Below are 23,980 nucleotides of genomic sequence, written 5' to 3' on the forward strand. Positions count from 1 at the left end.
GAACAGAGAGTCCATCTCATGTTGACCTATTTATAATGACTCATAAACTTGTAACGATGTGTATATTCTATTTTAGGGTTTTTTTTGTGTGTGTAGAAACCTGTGTGATTTTAGAATGTTCATTTAAGAATTGCTTCAGAATTGTATATATTTTTAAGCAATTTTTTGAAGTATTACTTAATTACAGAAAGGTATGCACACAGGCCATTAGAGTATGGCTTGATGTATCTAAGAGTTTCTAATCTTTTTCGATCACGTTTCAGACACTAATATCTGGAGCTGTGGTAGAACAACTTGATTTCCTACGAATCAGTGACACAGAAGAGTAAGTCCCTTTGGGTTATTTCATTTTTGGGTTTTTTGAAATTACATTAGAAAAGCAGAAAATATGAAACCTTTTCTTTTAATTTTTAGGCTTCCAGAATTTAAGAGTTTTGAGGAACTAGAACCTCCCAAACATTCAAAAGTCAAACGGCAAAGCAGCACCCCTAGTGCTCCTGAACTGGGACAGCAGCCGGATGTCAACATTAGTGAATGGAAGGACAAACCCACCCACGAAATTCTTCAAAAACTGAATGTGAGACAGATGCACTTCCCACATGGCCCTAAGTGAGGTTGCTGGAGCAGAAGCTCCCAGAATCAGACCATATGTCTTTTTGTCCTGTCAGTGAAGGTAGCAATTAATCTGGAGGTGGATGACTTGTCTACTCCCAGGGCAATCATGAGAAGTTGTTCTCTTGGTCTAACATCTGCATGGATATCTTTAAAAATGCTTAAGAAGTGCAGGTGAATATGTTTGTCTTGGATATACAAGTATGGTATGAGCCATTAAAGAAGTCAATGATAGTTGCCTTTGGGTTCTCCAGATTTCCCTTTCAGTGCCCTCTTTCTCCCTTTCTGCCCCCATCTTGTCCCCTGCCCCAGTGTTTAGGTCTAATGCTTGCTTTAGGTCAGTCCTGTCACTGAGTAAAGCAATCCTTTCACTGTGCTTATAGCACAGTGCCCTAATATGTAATAAACACTCTAAACAAGTCCCCTCCTATCATCCATCTCTTCACAACAGTTTGCTAGCAACATGGTCTCCCATTTACCAATAAGAAGAATCAAGAAGGGAGTGGTTAAATGACCTGGCCAAGTCTCTCAGAGAGTGGCAAAATCAATGTTAATGCTTGTAGATAAAATATTTTCTGTTCATTACTTATCTTGTTTTCTGGCAAATTTAATTATTAAATTCTACCACCCCAGGAAGCCAGCTTGTCACTTGTCTACCCTCTATCTCTAAGATATCTAAGATAAATATGAATCGTTGTATAATGTCATCTTATGCTTGATATTATATCAATGACATTTTATCTTCCCTCAGTTACATAGTAAAGTGTTTCTTCTCTGCATCATGTGGTTTTGTGATTAGTTACCCTCTGTGGTAACTGCTGTACCCATTTCATTCCAGTTCCTCACCGTGATTTATATTTTCAGGATTGCAGTTGTCTGGCTAGCCAAGCCATCCTGCTGGGTATACTGCTCAAAAGAGAAGGCCCCAACTTCATCACAAAGGAAGGTAAGCATGCATGTCTAGGAGAACATTTTAAGAGGACCTCTCTAGCCTTGAACATATATCAAATATGCATAAGCTATCCACTAAAATGTTACAAGTTATTTCCCCTTTCATTAAACCTTCTTTTTCACTTTTGAATGGAAAATGTTCATTCATACCCCCTAGAGTGGAGGAGACTGATGTATGAACCCCTAACTGGCTTTCATGCAGTGATGCTTGATTGTTTCTCTGATTGTCTGAAAAGTATTGGAGCTTGGATTGTGCCTGTGACTGTTAACGTCTGATGAATTCCATAGTTGTTTATTGACAGTTTCTGTTTCCAGTTTTATCTTCTCTAATTTTTCAAGAATAACATTGAATTGTTATGTCTATAAAAATTAGCTCTCTCATGGTCTGCAGCAGCCATTTGAAATGGAACATGGCATTTAATAGAATTGTGCTCTGAAGATGGTTAATAAAAATAAATCATTTGTAATCATGTCTATGTCCACTCTGCATTAAGGATGAAAACCAGTTATCCCCCAGATTCACACTTGCATGTGGAGTCACCACTGTAAGGAATCTTTAAGTTCTCCACCATGGTCCGCTTCTGACATTTTATAATACAGAATAATACAGAATACAGTTCAAGTACTTAATGTCTAGCTATTCAAAAATGTTTGGCTTATTTGAAAATACTCTGTTAAGAGGTGTGTGTTGATATGGTTAGAACTGAAAAACAGCAGTGGAATTAATAATACGTATAGTTCTGGTAATTAACTGAGCATAGTTATTTATTCAAATGAGATCTACTTAGTTTTTGCCTTATTATAGCTAAGAGATAACCTTCTTCAGTATTATAGATGTGAATTGAATAGTTTTCAATTTCTTAGCTTGTTAAAGGCAGAGGAACTTTTAGCAAATTTCAAACAGAATCTTGCATGTTTCTAATTAGTCTTAAAACTATAAGTATAAGCAGAATCTCAGTTATATTTAGGACATTCATTGAAATTTGCACTTTATCTAAAACAGTAGGATTTTTAAAAATCAAACATTTCATTAGAAACCTAGAATTCAGAATGGCTGTTTTTTTAATTTAAAAGTTTTAGTGCTTTTAAATAAAAGAAAATTTATATAAAATAGTTTATAATGAAAATGCTAAGGGAATGATGTTGTAAACCATTTTTATAAATTTGAGAATAATATTCATTAAATGTTTTAAATCTATAAAACCTTATGTGAAACTTTGAAAATCATATGCATCTACAGAATCTGAATATAATTTTATCCAATTTGTTAAAAGGCTGTAAAAAGTTTAGAGTAAAATGTTAAAGATCTTGTTTTTTATCATTGTTTTCTTTTTGGCGCTCTTTCCTGTCACATTGTGATTTTACGGGCAAAATCAGTGGCCAAATAATGAAACCCACTGGTGTCTTTTGAGCAGTAGCATATGTTGGAATGATCATAGCCCCATGTACATAACAAGGCCTCAGTAAAGTTTTATTGAACAAATAAATGAAAACTCATATATATTAGAGTCTACAGTATTTGTTCAATTGCTAATTATTTTACTATATTCTCTTTTCTTCTTTTCTGCAGTAAATTAGAATAGCATTTGTATTTGTTAAAAGTTTAGATTGCATATTAATTAGGAAAACAGTTGAATTTCGAGAAATAAAATACCTATATTACATACTCAGACTAAATAGTATCAAGTGCTGGGGATAGTCACACTCTATATATTTGAGTTACATATTTAAATATGTTAGTTCAGAACATTAATGGATCGATGTATCAACTCTAGTGAAGCACAGTGAAAATGAGTACTTTTAAGAGGAATAAATGTTGTGCATTTAATTAAAAGCTTTGTTCAACAAAGACTCTATTATCCAATGTCTAGGTACCGTTTCTGATCACATTGAGAGAGTCTATAGAAGAGCTGGCAGCCAAAAACTTTGGTTTGTATTAGTGTCCTTGTTGTTATGTTTTATTTTTGTGTTGTTATATTCGATAGCCTAAAGAAAATGGACCAATATTAAAGATAGTTATTCATCCTAATTTTTACTTTTAACCTCCAAGGTTACAGCACTTTCTAAGAATGTGCCTATGTAGCATGTCTGTCCCCCCACTGCCTCCACCAAAATTCTGAGAACAAAGACACTGTAGGGATTGAACCTGAAGAGTATTCGCTGGAATGGTATGCTAAGGTTTCTTTCCTGCTGTACACCTCCTCTGCCCCAACAAGGTGCTTTAAGTTCTGTTTTTTAATTTAGGAAACCTGTTCTGCTATTATAGAAGGCCATGAAAAGAGACCAGTGATTTATCTAATCATAAGCAAAAATAGTAGAAGGCTATTGTCTTGTCACTTAAGTTGAATGAATCCCAGTGATTGTAGTTGCTTCACGAAAAATAACCAATTTGTTCTACAGAGGTAGTCTGTTCCCAGAGATTGAAAAAAAAAAAGATGTAGGAAAGTTTAAATAAATAAAATTGTTTAAATTCACAATGGAGGGCCAATTCACATGGCCCTCTGCATTTTGATGTAATTCTAACAGTTTTACTAGCAGAATCTAACAAATTTTGAAAGTCAGAGCGTATGTATAGATATATATACACATGCACACATTTTTTTAATGATACGTTATCCACTTAAAAAAAAAAGTCTCAAGAATGTCATAAGAAACTCCCTTAACCTCAATGAGCCTCAGGTTTCTAATCCCTAAAATAAGGGGATTAAACAAAACAATCCCTTAGAATATTTCAATTCTATTTTTATAATAAATATGCCGTTCCTCCTCAGAAGAAATAATGTAATAATCCTATAGTTAAATCTTTCAAATTTTCACTGTAAATTTTCAGTACAGTAAGACATCAAGCCAATAAGTGATAGTTCTGGTAAACTTTCTTAGCCAGTAAGTTTCAAGTGTGGTCTGTAGTCTTATTTTTGATTAAGCACATCTGTTCTTGCTTTATGTATTACACTTTATGCATTTCAGATAAATCATTAACTAGCAAACATTTAGAATGCTGACTGTTATGTTTGGAAGAACTCCTGGAAGTTTTATTTACTCTATTTTCCCTTTTATGGCTTTCCACTGACACACCCAGGTTGGCGGTGCGCTACGGGGCTGCATTTACCCAGAAATTTTCTTCCTCTATAGCCCCACACATTACTACTTTTCTGGTACATGGGAAACAGGTAACATGCACAGAATTTGAAAACCCAAGCTGCTTGAAATGTGTGGGCTTATTTGCACTCTGAAGGTTAAATATGTCTTTTGGTCTTATAGTGTGTGGGTGAAAGCTTCTCTAGAAGTAGGAAGTGTTTGTTTCACTAACTTTATTAGTTATTGACTTAATTTTCTTTTAGTCATCTATGTTGAAATTAAGGAATATAAATGCTTTTTATAAGTCAGCTTCTGTGGATATCCTGAAATACATGAAGATTGCAGCCAGTTTCAAACCTACATTTTTATTTCTCTATCTAAAAGTTCCACGAGAATTTTTACTTTTGAGGGAAAAAAATTGTCTTATGTATTGCATGTGCTGTACTTTAAAAAAAAAAAATCTGTTCTCCCTAGGTTCTAAGACTTTTTCAGTAATATAAAAATAGCAGTGTGAATTCCTTCCCCCAACATTATGGCTTTATCAGTAAAAAGAAATACTGGTATTTCATTGTAGCACTTTCTAAAATTCAGTACTAAGTGAATCCTCTAATCCAGAGATTTGGTTATCTAGGCACCAAAAGAAACATGATTTAAAGTGGTTATAGAAATAGGTCACATGTACTAGTGACAGATTTAGTAATGAACTTGTTAATGCAAAATCAGAATACCCTCTTAATCCCTCCTATACACCCTCCCTCCCTAATCAAAATAATAATTAGGTTTTCTTTTTTTGCTTTTTATATCAATAGTGTCATCAATAATATTTTTGTCACAGCTTGGTGGCAGGGATGAGGTGGAGGGATCCCTCCCTAATTCTGAATGGTCCTGCAGTCTGGGAAATTTCAGCTGTTAGGTTCAATGTCCTGGGCAGTGTTTCCTCCAAATGATGATGTGAGGATTCCACTGTGTATATTTTAAAGACTACCCAATCAGGGCCCCATGCATTCCTCATCTTTTAGATTTGTGAACATCTGGCCTGCTCTCTTCTTTGCCCCCAGGTCGGTTGTACGCCGTGCAGCAAGTCTTTTAAGTAAAGTAGTGGACAGCCTGGCCCCATCCATTACTAATGTTTTAGTGCAGGGCAAACAGGTAAGTATTTGCTTTTCAGACACTTATTTGGTCCCGGTTGCAAAGATTTCTGGCTAGGACCCTTAATTTTAAGTCTGGCAAACCTCAATGTCATAGGCCTCTTACAATCAGATTTATAAGGGCTCAGGCACTTTCTATCAAAGTCTCCTTCCCCAAGCAAAATCTAGTCAGAAAGTTATTAAATGGGCCTTCCCCTTTCCTGCTGCACCTTAAAGCTATAATCTTCAACTCCTGTGTTGAGATCAATGCAGATGCTAATGTAGAAAATGGACCAATAACTACTGAAGTACTCCAGACAGGTTTCGGATAGGCAGAACAGAGGTAGGTGAACAGCAAAGGGCGCATCTTCCCTTCTGCTCCACATGAGATCTCCCCACTTAGAAAGCATGGTGTTCATGCCCAGCCAGGGTCTTTGCGTGCCAGTGCTGCTCCCCAGATCCCCTGCCCCAGGCCATCTCTAACCCCAGCTCCTCCCCATTCACCAGGGCCAACTCTGTCACCTCCTCCTCACGGAGCCATCTCCAGTTAGCAGTGGTCTCTCTCTCTGGATTCTCACAATAGGTCTGTGACAATTCCCACAATCTGTCCTGGGTCCCAGTTCATTTGAATGTGTGTCTCTCACCTCATGGTAGGCTGTGAACCCCCAGGGGTCAGAGTCTGGGTCTTGTCCAGTACACGTCCCAATGTGCCCAGCATGGGGCCTTGTTTGGAAAAAGCACTTGGTGAATGTTGGTTGAATTGAGCCTTGCATGTGGGGTGTGGCTACTCATTTTCTGTTTTGTTTTCTATAAGCTCTAATTTACCTGGCTGAATCATCCTTTGATTAGAATGAAAACCTGTCCACTTACTCTCTGTCTCTTCTCTGGGAATATATGTGCTTTATTGTGTTTTCCTGAGAGTTAATCTGGGGATATAATAATCTTTAGTAATATGAAGTATTTTAACTCTCTTCAATGGAATCAACCCATTGGTCATATTTCAGGGCTCTTAATTCATTAAGATTAAAATTATTCATCCTTACATTTAGCTTTTGAAATGTTAGAATAATAAGCTATTTATTGTTTCCTGTAATATTTAATAATTAAAAATAATTGTACTAATAAAAGATAAAAGATTCCTGCTGGGCATGGTGGCTCACACCTGTAATCCAAACACTTTGGGGGCCAAGGCGGGAGGATCACTTGAGGCCAGGAATTCGAGACCAGCCTGAGCACATAGCAAGACCCTATCTCTGCAAAAAAAAGAAAAAAAAAATAGTTGGGCCTGGTGGCACATGCCTTTGGTTTCAGTGCCTTGGGAAGCTGAGGTAGGAGGATTGCTTGAGCCCAAGAGTTTGAGGCTGTAGTGAGCTGTGATCATACACTCCAGCCTGGGCAACACAGCAATACCCTGTCGTTTAAAGAAATTAAAAAGAAAAAATACAAAAACTCCTAAGAAAAAGTTAAATCACTTCATATATGTTATTTTCTCCAAATTATTGAGAGGTAGAATTTTTATCCCTGTTTGTTGGCTAAAACAGACCAAAATACAGGAAGTAACTTATCTAGTGCCTTTTCTCACCAGAATTCTCACCTCCAGCCAGAGTCTTGTGTTTTTACCCTGAACCAAGCCACCTCTGAAAGAAAGTTAAACAGGCTTTGAGAAGATATTTTTCCTTGGATTTTAGATCCTTGTAGCATTTCTGAAAAGAGAGTTAACTCTGCATATGAACATTCAGAAGCTTTTGGAGACCTTCAAGGTCATCAGCACCTGACACTGGGAGAAAGGGTGGGTTAGGGTTGGTTCTGTCCAATCTACACAATATCTAAAGGGGGCTTGCAGCCTGTGGTCCTGAGATCCTGCTCCTACATCCTGGAAGCCTCAGAGCCTGCCCTAAGGTTGTGCCTGGACCATTGCTCATCACACTAGCGTGTCTCCCAGGGTAACAGTCACTTACAGAGCTGGGCAAGACTCGGAGGCCAGTAGCTCAGCTTCATTACCAGAGGCATGGAGTCCATTCTCTGACCGCATCTTACCTCTTTACAAAAAAGAAATGAGAATGGAGCATTCAGAATTTTTACTCGTGCGTTATTCAAATGCCACCCTAAGCACTGAAGTAATATTGTTTCTACCAAGCACATTCGGATCACCTCAAGCTCTGTGGAATGAAATCATGGCTTAGTCATCATTGCTTCTAGAGGCAATGATGTGCCTTCTGTTTGTTTTCTTCTTTACACACTGACATTTTAATAAAAGTATTCACACGCAGACTAACTGGTTCATGCCACTTGTGATATAATAAACCAGCAGTTCACAGTTTTCACTCCATTACAAAATTGAGGCAATAGACTCCATGTTCTGCTCTCTCCCCTCATCTCTGTGGCCTTTGATATGCTATTCTTTTTTCCTGCCTTTTATAATTGTACACTGTACATGAAAAAGAGATGGAAAGGGGTATTCAGGGAGAAGGGCGGCCTGCAGAGTCCCCTGGGAGAAGAATGCCAAGTATAGAGGAGAGAGAGAGACCAGCTTATTCCCCTTGCCAGCTTCAGCAGCATTCTGCCCAGAGTTTTTTTGGCCATTTCACTCTATGCTGTCTCCTGTCCCAGGCTGTGGGCAGCCTGTTCCTTCCCCTCCACAGGTGAGAGATCTGTCACCACATATTTTAACCCTCACCAGGCACCTTGCATTATGCCCAGAAAAATGAGGGCTACACAGGAACTGGGTGGCCTCACACCTGCCTTTGAAAGGTTATAGTGTTGCTGAGGCAAAAGGATCTGCCTGAGAAACTATAAAAGAATCAAAAAGTTTATCTCTCAAATACCAAATTGTGTAGACTGCAGTAAAGTGAAACTCTTCAACCTATTCTGGTTTCTCTGGGGAGTTTCTAGTACTAAAGTCATTCAGAATAATTTTAACTTAATTTATATTCCTTCCCTGCTTTTATCCACTCACCTCCACTCCCCTAACTGGAACCCTCACCTGCCCTTATATTTTAGACTAGACTGTGAACCATCATGAATTCCAGTGGGAGTCATGCTTTGAAAGCCATTTTAATAAATACCAGGAACAGTTATTCTACCTAATTCCCTAGCTTATATAGAGTAATTTCAGCCTGCCAGTCATTCTGAGCCTTGATTTTTTTTTAATTTTTATCTTTTAGTAGCTAGGAGAATTTTACAATAAAATTCTGCCACTTGTAGGTAACTCTGGGTGCCTTTGGGCATGAAGAAGAAGTTATCTCTAATCCTTTGTCTCCAAGAGTGATTCAAAACATCATCTATTATAAGTGTAACACCCATGATGAGAGGGAAGCGGTCATTCAGCAAGAACTGGTCATCCATATTGGCTGGATCATCTCCAATAACCCTGAGTTATTCAGTGGCATGCTGAAAATACGAATCGGGTGAGTGAAGTCCTTTGCATTTGCATAAAGAGAATTGTTCAAGTTGTCCTCTAACAGACCCGGCCTCTCCAAGTGAAGCAATGTTCCTGGTGTCTGGTGAGTATTCAGCAAAGAGCACCTGTCCTCTAAGCCATGCAGGCAATATCTGGGGGTATGAAAAATAAATGCCACTAGCCTGAAAGAATCCTTAACGTTTATTTCACACCCGAGTTAGACATAGTGAAGTAACTCCTTTGTCTGGTAAAATCAAACCCCAGAAATTTCAACAGCTGTGTCGTGTAAAACGCTAAGCACAGTACTTGCAAAAATTCCTAGAAATAAAATGGATAGGCCTTAAGAGAAGAATGATTTTCAGTAAAACTGTCAGGAGGACACATCCAGATAAAAATTTGGTCCTTTTAAGAATATTCTATACCCATTTTCTACTGAAATCTATTAATTGATTTTTAATATTGTTGTTCTTGGAGAAGAAATCAAAATAAGGCTCTGATGATCTTGAATATTTGTAATCAAGGATTTTATGAGGCAGCATGGTGTAGGAAAAATTAACCAGGCTCTGGAATTCAGCAGAACTGAGTTCAAGTTCCAACTGCCATTGTTGTCTCAGTAACCTTGGGTAAATGACTGAACCTCTCTAGCCTCACTTTAATACCAGTTTGTTTGTTTTATATGAAAATGAAATGAGATATGTTTTAAAAGTCTATGACAAGCTAAGGAAGTATAAATGTTTCTTTTTTAAATACATTTTTTATTGTACAAGTATCGTGAGTATGTCCTATTGTAAAAGAGCCCAATGATATCTGAGCTTATAGTGTAATCTAACAAGTGGCCAACTTTGAGGGTGTTTCTCAAGTGTTTGAAAAGAATATACATTCTCTGTTGGGTGCAAACATACATGTATGTGTATGAGTGTGAAATAAGTATATGTAGCTTGCTAACTGTAAAACTGGAATTTTAACATCTTTACTATCTCTATTTGGTCATTGCTGATAAAACTCTTAATTTCTCATTATAATTGTGGTTGTATCAATTTCTCCTTGCATTTTTATTTGTATCAGTTTTGCTTTATGTAGTTGTTTTTTGTTTTTTGAGATGGAGTCTCATTCCTATCACACAGGCTAGAGTGCAGTGGTGCGATCTCAGCTCACTGCAACTGCCGCCTCCCAGGTTCAAGCAATCTTTCCACCTCAGACTCCCAAGTGGCTGGGATTACAAGCGTGCGCCACCACACCCAGCTAATTTTTGTATTTTTAGTAGAGACACGGTTTCACCATGTTGGCCAAGCTGGTCTTGAACTCTTTACCTTTAGTGATCTGCCTGCCTCAGCCTCCCAAAGTACTGGGATTACAGGTGTGAGCCACCTCACCTGGCTGCTTTATGTAGTTTAAAACTTTGATTTTGTCCATGTCTCTTCATAACTTTTACCAATATATCTTCATGTCATTGATTACTTTTCAACTTTTTTTTTAAACTTCAAACATTTACAAAAATACGGAGACTAGTATAATACAGACTTATGTGCCCATACTATCAGCCAGCCTCAACAATATTATCATCTGGTCCGTCTTACTTCACCCATACCCCCATCTACTACCCACCTGCTCCCACAGTACCCTGTCAGTTTTGAAAGGCAAATCCATATCTTCTAATCTGTAAATACTTAAATTTGTATCTCAAAAACATAAGAACTTTTTCAAAGCATAAACACAGTACTGTTACCATGCATAAAAAACAATTGAATTATGTTTGTCAAATATTATTGCCATACCTTTCTCCATCTGTCATTATTAGCTTGCTATATTGTCTTCCATCCTTTTTGCATTCAATGTTCTTTTATAATTTTGTATGTATTATGTATGTTTTTATATTCAGCACTATGCTGTATTTATTAATATACTCTGAGAGCATCTTATAAGAAGCATGTAACATAAAATTTACCATCTTAACCATTTTTAAATATACAGTACAGTAGTATTAACTATATACATAATGTTGTCTTTTAATAGAAATATATATTTCATAATTGTTTTCTTTCTTTTACATTTTGACCTATTTCTATATTTTATACTTTATATTTACCATGCTTTCTTATAACTTTTTTCCTTTTCTGTTTATTGTTGGGTTGAGCTCCTTTTCATTCCACTAGTTTTACACATAAATGTGATGTACTTTTTTAAACATTATTACCCATTTTTTCCTTCAAAATCACATGTGAAAAATGCATTGCCTATTTGGCAATATCTGCATACATCGTAATTCATCAGTTCTCATCCAAGGAGTTCACAGTATTCACACAAGTACCATAAAGATATATTTTGCAGCAGTCTTCCTTTCAGCATTATCCGAAATAGTGAAACATTGCGAACAACCTAGATGTTCATTAGTAGGAAATAGTTTGAATAAATTGGTTTTTAGCCATATAAAAAATGCTGTGCTACCTACAGTGAACAAGATAAAGTCCTATATACCGACATTTATGAATGTCCTAGATAAATGTAAAAAAAGATGCAGTGTATTGTTCCACTTTTTATAAAAGAACAATAATAATACCATACATATATCTGTGTAATGTATGTGTGCAAAAGTATCTGAAAAATATATATCAAATTGGTGTCAGTTACTTTCTCTAGGAGATTTCTACTTTCTAAGTTACATTTTTCAGTATTATTTTAAAAATTACTTTAGCTTATTATTTTTAAGTGATTTGCCTGATTTCAACTACAGTATATTTCAGTCAAATTTCCTTATCTTTGTCTCTTCTTTCTTTTGATTGAAAGTAAATTACCTGCATAGAATTTGACCTTCACTCTTATCCCTTAAAATAGTTTCTTTCAAAGATTCAGAGCTATTTTGAATCAGTTATAAGAACTTTGAGTTATATCCTGATTTGTTCAGTCTGTTTGCCCTGATATTTTCAACTCCAACCTCTTGACTCCACATGAGGATAGAGAAATGGTTCTTTCATGTGAGCTAACTCCAAATGAAAAGAAATGTGATTCTCCATCTCTGTACATGGTATAAAAGTACTCTATTGTCACAGACTCAGGCATTGATCTGAGACAGACTGAGAAGTATAGGTTATAAGTCTTCCAAAGCACATTCTTTGAAATAAGTGTAATAAGTGTTCAGGGAGCCTTTTCAAGTGACAGCCATCCTTGCAGAGGTTTCAACAAAGCCTTAGAGTGAAGGTAAACAGTTTCCCAAGATTTTACACTGCTGTGTTTTTCAGTCTATAGTAGTTTTTCCTTTACTGCTTATTCAGCATTTTAAGCTAATTTAGGTCCTCTACAAATCTCATGTAATTCCCTTTCTTGAATTCAACTCTAACCTGATGCTTCTTTCTATTCATGGGAATGGATATTTATTCTAAAAATAGCATTCTTTCTGTTTTTATATCTGTTACTCTGTATGTTTGGTGCTTTCCATGAGAAATGACATACCATTTTTCCTTATACTGTGTTACCCAAAGTAAAAATGTCAGGTGGCAACATGTGACTTAGTATTTAACAGTCAACTGACTCATAAAGAAATTTGCTATGAAACCTTAATTATTCACCGTCCTGAAACTCATTCTGGAATTGTGGCATTATATTCTCATTGCGAGTATTAATAGTGTCCCTGCCTGACTTATGATGTACATTTCACTCTTATGTGGGTCTCACGAGATCAGTTCTAACCACTGGGACTATTTCAGTTGGGGAGCAATCTGGTATTTTTTTTTTTTTTATTAAGGAGTTATTTATTTAAGAAATTTCCTTCTGCTAAGGATAGGAACTAAATCTTGTATTACTTCCCATCTGTCTTACAGTCTCTTTCATCAGAGATACTCAATAAATATTGGATTGTTTAACATACGGTATATAAGCAGAGTCAGGTGGTTTGCTTTGAGCTAGTAATGTGGAATTTAGGAAAAGCAAAAAGAGAGCATGTCTCTGTACTCTTAGAGAAGTAAATGGCTCTTAATTTTGATAAACATACTTGGTTTTGTGCCACATGATATTGGAATTAAGTATAAAAGAAGATTTAATTAAATCATGTCCTTCAGGAAATGACCAAGTTAAACAGGGCCTTGTTTTTATGAAAGTCCATTCATATATACAGAAGATATCAGGATGTAGCACTTTTCTCCACGGAGTTATTAATGGAATGGTGTAATTAATCATATCAGAGTACAGGACAGGTTGCCTTACAATCGTACATCTCTTAGCAGTGTTTCCAGTAACGATCTAAGAGGAGACAAGTTTAAATAACGTGATCATTGCACTCAAAAGATCACTCTAGTAAACCATCCTTCTCTTCCTCCATCACTATAGCCACAAATATTATTCATTGAATATCTGTTATATGCTAAGCAATGAATAATAGAAGAAGAATAAAAATTCTTCACATATATTATCTGTTTTAATCCCTACAACAACTTTGAAGTAGGCACTAGAACCACCATTTTACAACAAAGAAATTGAGATTTGGAGAGTATACATGGGCTGTCTTTGTCAGTAAGTGGAAGAACTGGGATTTACACCCAGGTCTGCCTGACTCCAGTGTTCTTATTCTTCAGTCTTGAGTACTTTCTGCATGTTTTTGCTTCTGTATACTATTGCCATTATCTCACAGAAACAGGCTTTAGTGTTTATTTCTAAAACTTTATGGCCTTTATGATCTCTCATACATGATTTCAATTTATGATCCATATTGTATTCAAGTTCATGTAGTAACTATGATGTGCCAGATGCCAGATTTTTTTTTTTTTTCGTCTTTTGTCTGCCAGGCCTCCAATCTAGGATCAGTACTGTTGAGCATTTTACAGTGTAAGGAACTTGAGTAGGTACAAGTTAACAGACCGAATAAATGAGATTTTGCACCTTTATTCATCACAAGGCAGAGAAAATGGGATGATTCTAAGTTGGCCGCTTGTATACTACAGTAGATATATTGTGTTGGTGCAAAAGTAATCGTGGTTTTTGCCATTGAAAGTAGTGGCTGAAACCACAATTGCTTTGCACTAACCTAATATTAAGACGCTATGAAAAGTTCAGAGAAGTCTAGAGCAGACTTTTCACTTCCTTGTAATATTCTAGGATACCTCTGGCAAATACAGAGCCTCATTATGTTAACCACACAAAAAAAGCTTTCTGAAATGTAAACCTGCCTGCCTGTTGCTGCATCAACATTGGTTTAGGAGGCAAAGCATAAGAATAATTTGAAATTATATTTTGTCATACTTTCAAGGTCAGTATTTGCAGAGGAAATAATATTTTCCTGAAGACTAACCCGTCTTTGTAGGTCCAGGGTAGATGTCATTGTTCGAAGTTAACAGCCAGTCCAAAATGTGTGAGCCAGTGAATATGCACTGAACCCTTGGTACTGTTTACTGGAACCAGCAAAGATAGAGACACTGGGATAAGGACAAATGGTAGACAGTTGCCGTGTAACTCCTCTACGGAAAATCTTCCACCTCCCCTAAGGCAAAACCAGCCCTGCCACTGAATTCAGCTCTCTGGATAACACCAATTTGAGAGTTACAAGTGGAAAGCCTTGAATTTTATTCCCATTTCTGCCAGTAACTTAAGTGACTATCTCAGGCAAATGAGTTCCCCTTTCTTATGTTCAGAGGAAGAGATCTAATGTTTGCTGAGGGCCCATTTTCTAGGTGCTTGCCCTTTGGGTTATCCCAGAAAATCCTCAACAAAAACTCTGTAAGTTTACACACAAGCTGCTTGAAATTCTGCAAAATTAGATAACTTTCCCAAGGTCACAGGCCAAGAACCAGGATTTGGAACTAGTGTGAGTGACGCAGAGTTCATGCTCCCCAACCCCTCTTCCACCCCTGTTACCCTGGTCAGTAACAGCGGGGCTATGCCTGCTTTGGTGTCCTCGTTGGATGTGGTGATTCTGGGTAAAAAATGTGAAGATGTTTTGCAAGGGCAGAGCTTCAACATTATCACTGTGGTATTTGATAATTTGAGGTCTTCTCCCCATGACATTTGGAGAACAGCTCCATCTGAGGAGTGCTTTTTACACACCACAAATCTCAAGGTGCCGTAGGAGGAACCTCCCTCTTCTCCCAACACACACACACACGTACACACACACACACACACACTCTCTCTCTCTCTCTCTCTCTCTCTCTCTGTCTCCATCTCACTCATTCTTGTCTTCTGGTCCTAGGTTTGCAAAGGCCGTGTGCTCTCACAAGAGAAGTTCACCTTGGAGGAGGGGGCCCTTTCAGCCATGGTTGAGTCCCCTGTAGGCCCAGTGGAATGATCCCAAAGCATCTCATATGGAAACTCCATCTCAGAATCCCATTGGGATGATCTCTTGCCATCTAACATGATGTCACCTCTCCGTCACCTGGTAGACACTCACGACACCTGTGGCAAACACCCTAAAATCCCTTCAGACCTACGCCCACAGCACTCTTCCACCACAGTAATAAAGGCTTGGGAATGCTGTTTCTGCCCTAGGGATATCAGACAACTTCAGATAACTGTCATCCTGTCTGTGGGGCTTGTGATAGTGCCCCTCTGAAGAGTAAAAAGATACTTTTGTGTCTTCTATGTTTTTATTAGACTTCATCCTCAATAAATTATACTAAGGCCTCAACCCCTTTAAGTGAATGGGCCCCTTGCATATTTGTTTATTAGCAGCAGCAAATACATACTCAGTATGTTTCTTTACAAATTTTACCTTGAATTAGTCCCTGGAAGGTTTTTAGTTTGCTTAAAATTGGTGAGCAAATTATTCATTTATAAAGTCTTTGAATGTCAAATTTCCTATAAATTGTTGAACATGTAACTGTTTCTGAGTTAGTCCTTTGTGTATTGTAGTGGTTGTAGCACAATTTTAAAAGAAAGGGAGGGGATTTATAGAATGTATTCTTTTTTTACTGCCTTATGGTACAATAAGCACATCAGACTCATTCTTACTTGGCTTTTTGCTATTGTTTCTCTCTTTTAAATGTTAATTATGATTAAAGAGATTGATTGATTGGTCATGTTTTGATACCATATTCTTCTTGGATGCCAGCATTCACTAGACTGAATGGCCATAAGAAATAAGAACATTTGCCTTAATCATGGTACATCTTAACCAGAATTCCCTTGCATTGAGTATACTTTTATCTCAGGTTTAACTACTCTCTCTTAGTGTTTTTTTAAATTTTATTTATTTGCATTACCCACTACTTCAATTGCTTTTAAGCCAATAGCACCATGTTTCTTTTCTCTTTTTTCCAAGGTTAATCTTGCCAATGCAATTTCTTCAACTTTACTGCTATCAGGCACTCCAGTGAACAAAATTAACCTGCTCACAGGAATGGTATTCTGGTCTGATAATGATTTGATTTGCTGTCTCATTATTGATTTGTGCTTCAGCTTTCCTGTTGAAATAGATCAAGTTCCTGACAGGCCCATTACTGTAAAGACCTCCAATCAACTACTTTCTGCTGCAGGTCTGTCAGTCAAGCTTTACTTACAGATAACCCCAGAGGATATGTGTTATCAAGTATTTTTCATCTCTGCTTTTCATACTGCCAGGGCATCCTCTGTAAGCAATTATGATCCAGACGTACCTTGTCCTCTGATGCCCAAAACCGTATCTGTGGATCACACATCCGAAGCTTAGAGAGAGCCATTGTTGTCATAGATAGCAGACTATAACATTGCTTATGCACTAAAGGAAAGAGAAAATAATTACAGCACCAAGTTCATTAGCACGGTTCTGATACTCATTCTGAGGTCTTTGCTTTTGACATCTGATATGAGGTAAGGAGGTGAGATGATGAAGCTCCCCAACCTCTATTCTATTGTGATTGGATCAGTGATAGAGGGAATCCACATCCTTCAGTCACCAAACAGATAGCTCAGTTTGCCTCATCAAATTGTATTCCTCTCCATATTAATATGAATCAAGCAAAAAAAGTCCCTTCTTGCAGCTTTCCATCGTCTGTCATTTGGTGTATCAGCTCTGGCTTCCATAACAAAACGCCATACATGGAATGGCTTAAACACAGAAATTTATTTTCTCACAATCTGCAGGCTGGAAAGGCCAAGGTCAGGGTCCCTGCCAATTTGGTTTCTGGTGAGGGCTCTCCTCCTGGCTTGCAGATGGCTGCCTTCTGTGTCCTGTGTCCTCTGATGGAGAGAGAGAGCTCTCTGGTATGTCTTCTTATAAGGTTACTAATCCCAGCATAAGGGCCCCAACCTCATGACCTCATCTAAACCTGATTACCTCCCAAAGACCCCATCTCCAGATACCATCACACTGGAGTTAGGGCTTCAACATTTGAATTTGGAGGGGGAGAAAGAATTCAGTCCATAGAATATGGCTTAGTTAAATGCACAAAATCATCTAATTTTTTTTTTTTTTATACTTTAAGTTTTAGGTTACATGTGCACAATGTGCAGGTTTGTTACATATGTATAGATCTGCCATGTTGGTGTGCTGCACCCATTAACTCGTCATTTAGCATTAGGTATATCTCCTAATGCTATCCCTCCCCCCTCCCCCGACCCCACAACAGTCCCCGGAGTGTGATATTCCCCTTCCTGTGTCCATGTGTTCTCATTGTTTAGTTCCCACCTATGAGTGAGAACATGCGGTGTTTCCTTTTTTGTCCTCGCAATAGTTTGCTGAGAATGATGGTTTCCAGTTTCATCCATGTCCCTACAAAGGACCTGAACTCATCATTTTTTATGGCTGCATAGTATTCCATGGTGTATATGTGCCACATTTTCTTAATCCAGTCTATCATTGTTGGACATTTGGGTTGGTTCCAAGTCTTTGCTATTGTGAATAGTGCCACAATAAACATATGTATGCATGTGTCTTTATAGCAGCATGATTTATAATCCTTTGGGTATATACCCAGTAATGGGACGGCTGGGTCAAATGGTATTTCTAGTTCTAGATCCCTGAGGAATCGCCACACTGACTTCCACAATGGTTGAACTAGTTCAGAGTCCCACCAACAGTGTAAAAGTGTTCCTCTTTCTCCACATCCTCTCCAGCACCTGTTGTTTCCTGACTTTTTAATGATCGCCATTCTAACTGGTGTGAGATGGTATCTCATTGTGGTTTTGATTTGCATTTCTCTGATGGCCAGTGATCATGAGCATTTTTTCATGTGTTTTTTGGCTGCATAAATGTCTTCTTTTGAGAAGTGTCTGTTCATGTCCTTCGCCCACTTTTTGATGGGGTTGTTTGTTTTTTTCTTGTAAATTTGTTTGAGTTCATTGTAGATTCTGGATATTAGCCCTTTGTCAGATGAGTAGGTTGCAAAAATTTTCTCCCATTCTGTAGGTTGCCTGTTCACTCTGATGGTGGTTTCTTTTGCTGTGCAGAAGCTCTTTAGTTTAATTAGATCCCATTTGTCAATTTTGGCTTTTGTTGCCATTGCTTTTGGTGTTTTAGACATGCAGTCCTTGCCCATGCCTGTGTCCTGAATGGTATTGCCTAGGTTTTCTTCTAGGGTTTTTATGGTTTTAGGTCTAACATGTAAGTCTTTAATCCATCTTGAATTGATTTTTGTATAAGGTGTAAGGAAGGCATCAAGTTTCAGCTTTCTACATATGGCTAGCCAGTTTTCCCAGCACCATTTATTAAATAGGGAATCCTTTCCCCATTGCTTGTTTTTGTCAGGTTTGTCAAAGATCAGATGGTTGTAGATATGTGGCATTATTTCTGAGGGCTCTGTTCTGTTCCATTGGTCTATATCTCTGTTTTGGTACCAGTACCATGCTGTTTTGGTTACTGTGGCCTTGTAGTATAGTTTGAAGCAGGTAGTGTGATGCCTCCAGCTTTGTTCTTTTGGCTTAGGATTGACTTGGCGATGCGGGCTCTTTTTTGGTTCTATATGTACTTTAAAGTAGTTTTTTCCAATTCTGTGAAAAAAGTGATTGGTAGCTTGATGGGGATGACATTGAATCTATAAATTACCTTGGGCACTATGGCCATTTTCACGATATTGATTCTTCCTACTCATGAGCATGGAATGTTCTTCCATTTGTTTGTGTCCTCTTTTATTTCATTGAGCAGTGGTTTGTAGTTCTCCTTGAAGAGGTCCTTCACATCCCTTGTAAGTTGAATTCCTAGGTATTTTATTCTCTTTGAAGCAATTGTGAATGGGAGTTCACTCATTATTTGGCTCTCTGTTTGTCTGTTATTGGTGTCTAAGAATGCTTGTGATTTTGCACATTGATTTTGTATCCTCAGACTTTGCTGAAGTTGCTTATCAGCTTAAGGAGATTTTGGGCTAAGACAATGGGGTTTTCTAGATATACAGTCATGTCATCTGCAAACAGGGACAATTTGACTTCCTCTTTTCCTAATTGAATACCCTTTATTTCCTTCTCCTGCCTAATTGCCCTGGCCAGAACTTCCAACACTATGTTGAATATTAGTGGTGAGAGAGGGGATCCCTGTCTTGTGCCCATTTTCAAAGGGAATGCTTCCAGTTTTTGCCCATTCAGTATGATATTGGCTGTGGGTTTGCATAGATAGCTCTTATTATTTTGAGATACGTCTCATCAATACCTAATTTATTGAGAGTTTTTAGCATGAAGTGTTGTTGAATTTTGTCAAAGGCGTTTTCTGCATCTATTCAGATAATCATGTGGTTTTTGTCTTTGGTTCTGTTTATATGCTGGATTACATTTATTGATTTTCATATGTTGAACCAGCCTTACATCTCAGGGATGAAGCCCACTTGATCATGGTTGATAGGCTTTTTGATGTGTTGCTGGATTCAGTTTGCCAGTATTTTATTGAGGGTTTGTGCATCAATGTTCATCAAGGATATTGGTCTAAAATTCTCTTTTTTGGTTGTGTCTCTGCCAGGCTTTGGTATCAGGATTATGCTGGCCTCATAAAATGAGTTAGGGAGGATTCCCTCTTTTTCTATTGATTGGAATAGTTTCAGAAGGAATGGTACCAGCTCCTCCTTGTACCTCTGGTAGAATTTGGCTGTGAATCCATCTGGTCCTGGACTATTTTTGGTTGGTAAGCTATTAATTATTGCCACAATTTCAGAGCCTGTTATTAGTCTATTCAGAGATTCAGGTTCTTCTGGTTTAGTCTTGGGAGGGTGTATGTGTCGAGGAATTTATCCATTTCTTCTAGATTTTCTAGTTTATTTGCGTAGAGGTGTTTATAGTATTCTCTGATGGTAGTTTGTATTTCTGTGGGATCGGTGGTGATATCCCCTTTGTCCTTTTTTATTGCGTCTATTTGATTCTTCTCTCTTTTCTTCTTTATTAGTCTTGCTAGCGGTCTATCAGTTTTGTTGATCTTTTCAAAAAACCAGCTCCTGGATTCATTAATTTTTTTGAAGGGTTTTTTGTGTCTCTATTTCCTTCAGTTCTGCACTGATTTTAGTCATTTCTTGCCTTCTGCTAGCTTTTGAATGTGTTTGCTCTTGCTTTTCTAGTTCTTTTAATTGTGATTTTAGGATGTCAATTTTGGGTCTTTCCTGCTTCCTCTTGTGGGCATTTAATGCTATAAATTTCCCTGTGCACCCTGCTTTGAATGTGTCCCAGAGATTCTGGTATGTTGTGTCTTTGTTCTCATTGGTTTTAAAGAACATCTGTGTTTCTGCCTTCATTTTGTTATTTACCCAGTAGTCATTCAGGAGCAGGTTGTTCAGTTTCCATGTAGTTGAGCGGGTTTGAGTGAGTTTCTTAATCCTGAGTTCTAATTTGATTACACTGTGGTCTGAGAAACAGTTTGTTACAATTTCTGTTCTTTTACATTTGCTGAGGAGTGCTTTACTTCCAACTATGTAGTCAGTTTTGGAATAGGTGTGGTGTGGTGTTGAAAAAAATGTATATTCTGTTGATTTGGGGTGGAGAGTTCTGTAGATGTCTATTAGGTCCACTTGGTGCAGAGCTGAGTTCAATTCCTGGGTATCCTTGTTAACTTTCTGTCTCGTTGATCTGTCAAATGTTGACAGTGGGGTGTTAAAGTCTCCCATTTTTACTGTGTGGGAGTCTAAGTCTCTTTGTAGGTCACTAAGGACTTGCTTTATGAAACTGGGTGCTTCTATGTTGGGTGCATATATATTTAGGATAGTTAGCTCTTCTTGTTGAATTGATCCCTTTACCATTATGTAATGGCGTTCTTTGTCTCTTTTGATCTTTGTTGGTTTAAAGTCTGTTTTATCAGAGACTAGGATTGCAACCCCTGCCTTTTTTTGTTTTCCATTTGCTTGGTAGATCTTCCTCCATCCCTTTATTTTGAGCCTATGTGTGTCTCTGCACGTGAGATGGGTTTCCTGAATACAGCACACTGATGGGTCTTGACCCTTTATCCAATTTGCCAGTCTGTGTCTTTTAGTTGGAGCATTTAGCCCATTTACATTTAAAGTTAATATTGTTATTTGTGTATTTGGTTCCGTCATTATGATGTTAGCTGGTTATTTTGCTCGTTAGTTGATGCAGTTTCTTCCTTGCCTTGATGGTCTTTACATTTTGGCATGTTTTTGCAGTGTCTGGTACCAGTTGTTCCTTTCCATGTTTAGTGCTTCCTTCAGGAGCTCTTTTAGGGCAGGCCTGGTGGTGACAAAATCTCTCAGCTTGTCTGTAAAGTATTTTATTTCTCCTTCACTTATGAAGCTTAGTTTGGCTGGATATTAAATTCTGGGTTGAAAATTCTTTCCTTTAAGAATGTTGAATATTGGCCCCCACTCTCTTTTGGCTTGTATTCTGCCAAGAGATCCGCTGTTAGTCTGATGGCCTTCCCTTTGTGGGTTACCCGACCTTTCTCTCTGGCTGCCCTTAACATTTTTTCTTTCATTTCAACTTTGGTGAATCTGACAATTATGTGTCTTGGAGTTGCTCTTCTCGAGGAGTATCTTTGTGGCGTTCTCTGTATTTCCTGGATCTGAATATTGGTCTGCGTTGCTAGATTGGGGAAGTATTGTCCTGGATCATATCCCTCAGAGTGTTTTCCAACTTGGTTCCATTCTCCCCGTCACTTTCAGGTACACCAATCAGACGTAGATTTGCTCTTTTCACATAGTCCCATATTTCTTGGAGGCTTTGTTCGTTTCTTTTTATTCTCTTTTCTCTAAACTTCTCTTCTCGCTTCATTTCATTCATTTCGTCTTCCATCACTGATACCCTTTCTTCCAGTTGATCGCATCGGCTCCTGAGGCTTCTGCATTCTTCACATAGTTCTCGAGCCTTGGCTTTCAGCTCCATCAGGTCCTTTAAGGACTTCTCTGCGTTGGTTATTCTAGTTATCCATTCGTCTAATCTTTTTTCACAGTTTTTAACTTCTTTGCCATTGGTTTGAATTTCCTCCTGTAGCTCGGAGTAGTTTGATCGTCTGAAGCCTTCTTCTCTCACCTCATCAAAGTCATTCTCTGTCCAGCTTTGTTCCGTTGCTGGTGAGGAGCTGCATTCCTTTGGAGGAGGAGAGGTGCTCTGCTTTTTAGAGTTTCCAGTTTTTCTGCTCCATTTTTTTCCCCATCTTTGTGGTTTTATCTACTTTTGGTCTTTGATGATGGTGATGTACAGAAGGGTTTTTGGTGTGGATGTCCTTTCTGTTTGTTAGTTTTCCTTCTAACAGACAGGACCCTCAGCTGCAGGTCTGTTGGAGTTTGCTAGAGGTCCACTCCAGACCCTCTTTGCCTGGGTATCAGCAGCAGTGGCTGTAGAACAGCGGATCTTGGTGAACCGCAAATGCTGCTGCCTGATCGTTCCTCTGGAAGTTTTGTCTCAGAGGAGTACCCGGCCATGTAAGGTGTCAGTCTGCCCCTACTGGGGGGTGCCTCCCAGTTAGGCTGCTCGGGGGTCAAGGACCTACTTGAGGAGGCAGTCTGCCTGTTCTCACATCTCCAGCTGTGTGCTGGGAGAACCACTACTCTCTTCAAAGCTGTCAGACGGGACATTTAAGTCTGCAGAGGTTACTGCCGTCTTTTTGTTTGTCTGTGCCTTGCCCCCAGAGGTGGAGCCTACAGAGGCAGGCAGGCCTCCTTGAGCTGTGGTGGGCTCCACCCATTTGGAGCTTCCTGGCTGCTTTGTTTACCTAATCAAGCCTTGGCAATGGCAGGCACCCCTCTCCCACCCTCGCTGCCGCCTTGCAGTTTGATCTCAGACTGCTGTGCTAGCAATCAGCGAGACTCCGTGGCCATAGGACCCTCCGAGCCAGGTGTGGGATATAATCTCCTGGTGTGCCGTTTTTTAAGCCCATTGGAAAAGCGCAGTATTAGGGTGGGAGTGACCCGATTTTCCAGGTGCTGTCTGTCACCCCTTTCTTTGACTAGGAAAGGGAACTCCCTGACCCCTTGTGCTTCTCAAGTGAGGCAATGCCTCGCCCTGCTTCGGCTCGTGCACGGTGCACTTCACCCACTGTCCTGCACCCACTGTTTGGCACTCCCTAGGGAGATGAACCCAGTACCTCAGATGGAAATGCAGAAATCACCCATCTTCTGCATCGCTCACGCTGGGAACTGTAGACCGGAGCTGTTCCTATTCGGCCATCTTGGCTCCACCTCCAATCATTTGTTTAACAGCAAACTTAGCAGATCCTTGTCTTATCTTGAAATCTTAAAATGATTATTTAAAAAAAATTATTTTTTCCAAGGATCAGTTCTATTCTGTATGGCTTTTTTTTTTTTTCCAGAAAATTTCAGCTGGTCAGGTGCAGTGGCTTATACTTGTAATCCCAGCACTTTGAGGGGCCAAGGTGGATGAATCACTTGAGCCCAGGAGTTTGAGACCAGTTGGGCAACATGGCAAAACCCCTTCTCTACAAAAAAATTAAAAATTAGCTGGGTGTAGCGGTGCCTGCCTGTAGTCCCAGTTA

At 38.5% G+C, this 23,980-nt stretch overlaps 1 protein-coding gene across 3 annotated transcripts in view; it reads left to right on the top strand.

The window, feature by feature from the left end:
- The window catches only part of PHKB (phosphorylase kinase regulatory subunit beta), a 240,225-nt gene that overhangs the window by 198,944 nt on the left and 17,301 nt on the right, over positions 1-23,980 (top strand). For 2 of the 3 annotated variants that reach the window (NM_001363837.1, NM_001031835.3), the window contains 6 exons: positions 264-325; positions 415-577; positions 1,477-1,558; positions 3,435-3,492; positions 5,700-5,790; positions 8,973-9,175. In NM_001363837.1, coding sequence (NP_001350766.1) covers positions 264-325; positions 415-577; positions 1,477-1,558; positions 3,435-3,492; positions 5,700-5,790; positions 8,973-9,175 — 659 coding nt within the window. Of the gene's footprint in view, positions 1-263; positions 326-414; positions 578-1,476; positions 1,559-3,434; positions 3,493-4,642; positions 4,734-5,699; positions 5,791-8,972; positions 9,176-23,980 lie in introns of all 3 variants that reach the window. The other variant, NM_000293.3, reaches the window with a different exon arrangement.

The sequence above is a fragment of the Homo sapiens genome, chromosome 16, assembly GCF_000001405.40.
Source record: "Homo sapiens chromosome 16, GRCh38.p14 Primary Assembly".
NCBI classification, from domain to species: Eukaryota; Metazoa; Chordata; class Mammalia; order Primates; family Hominidae; genus Homo; species Homo sapiens.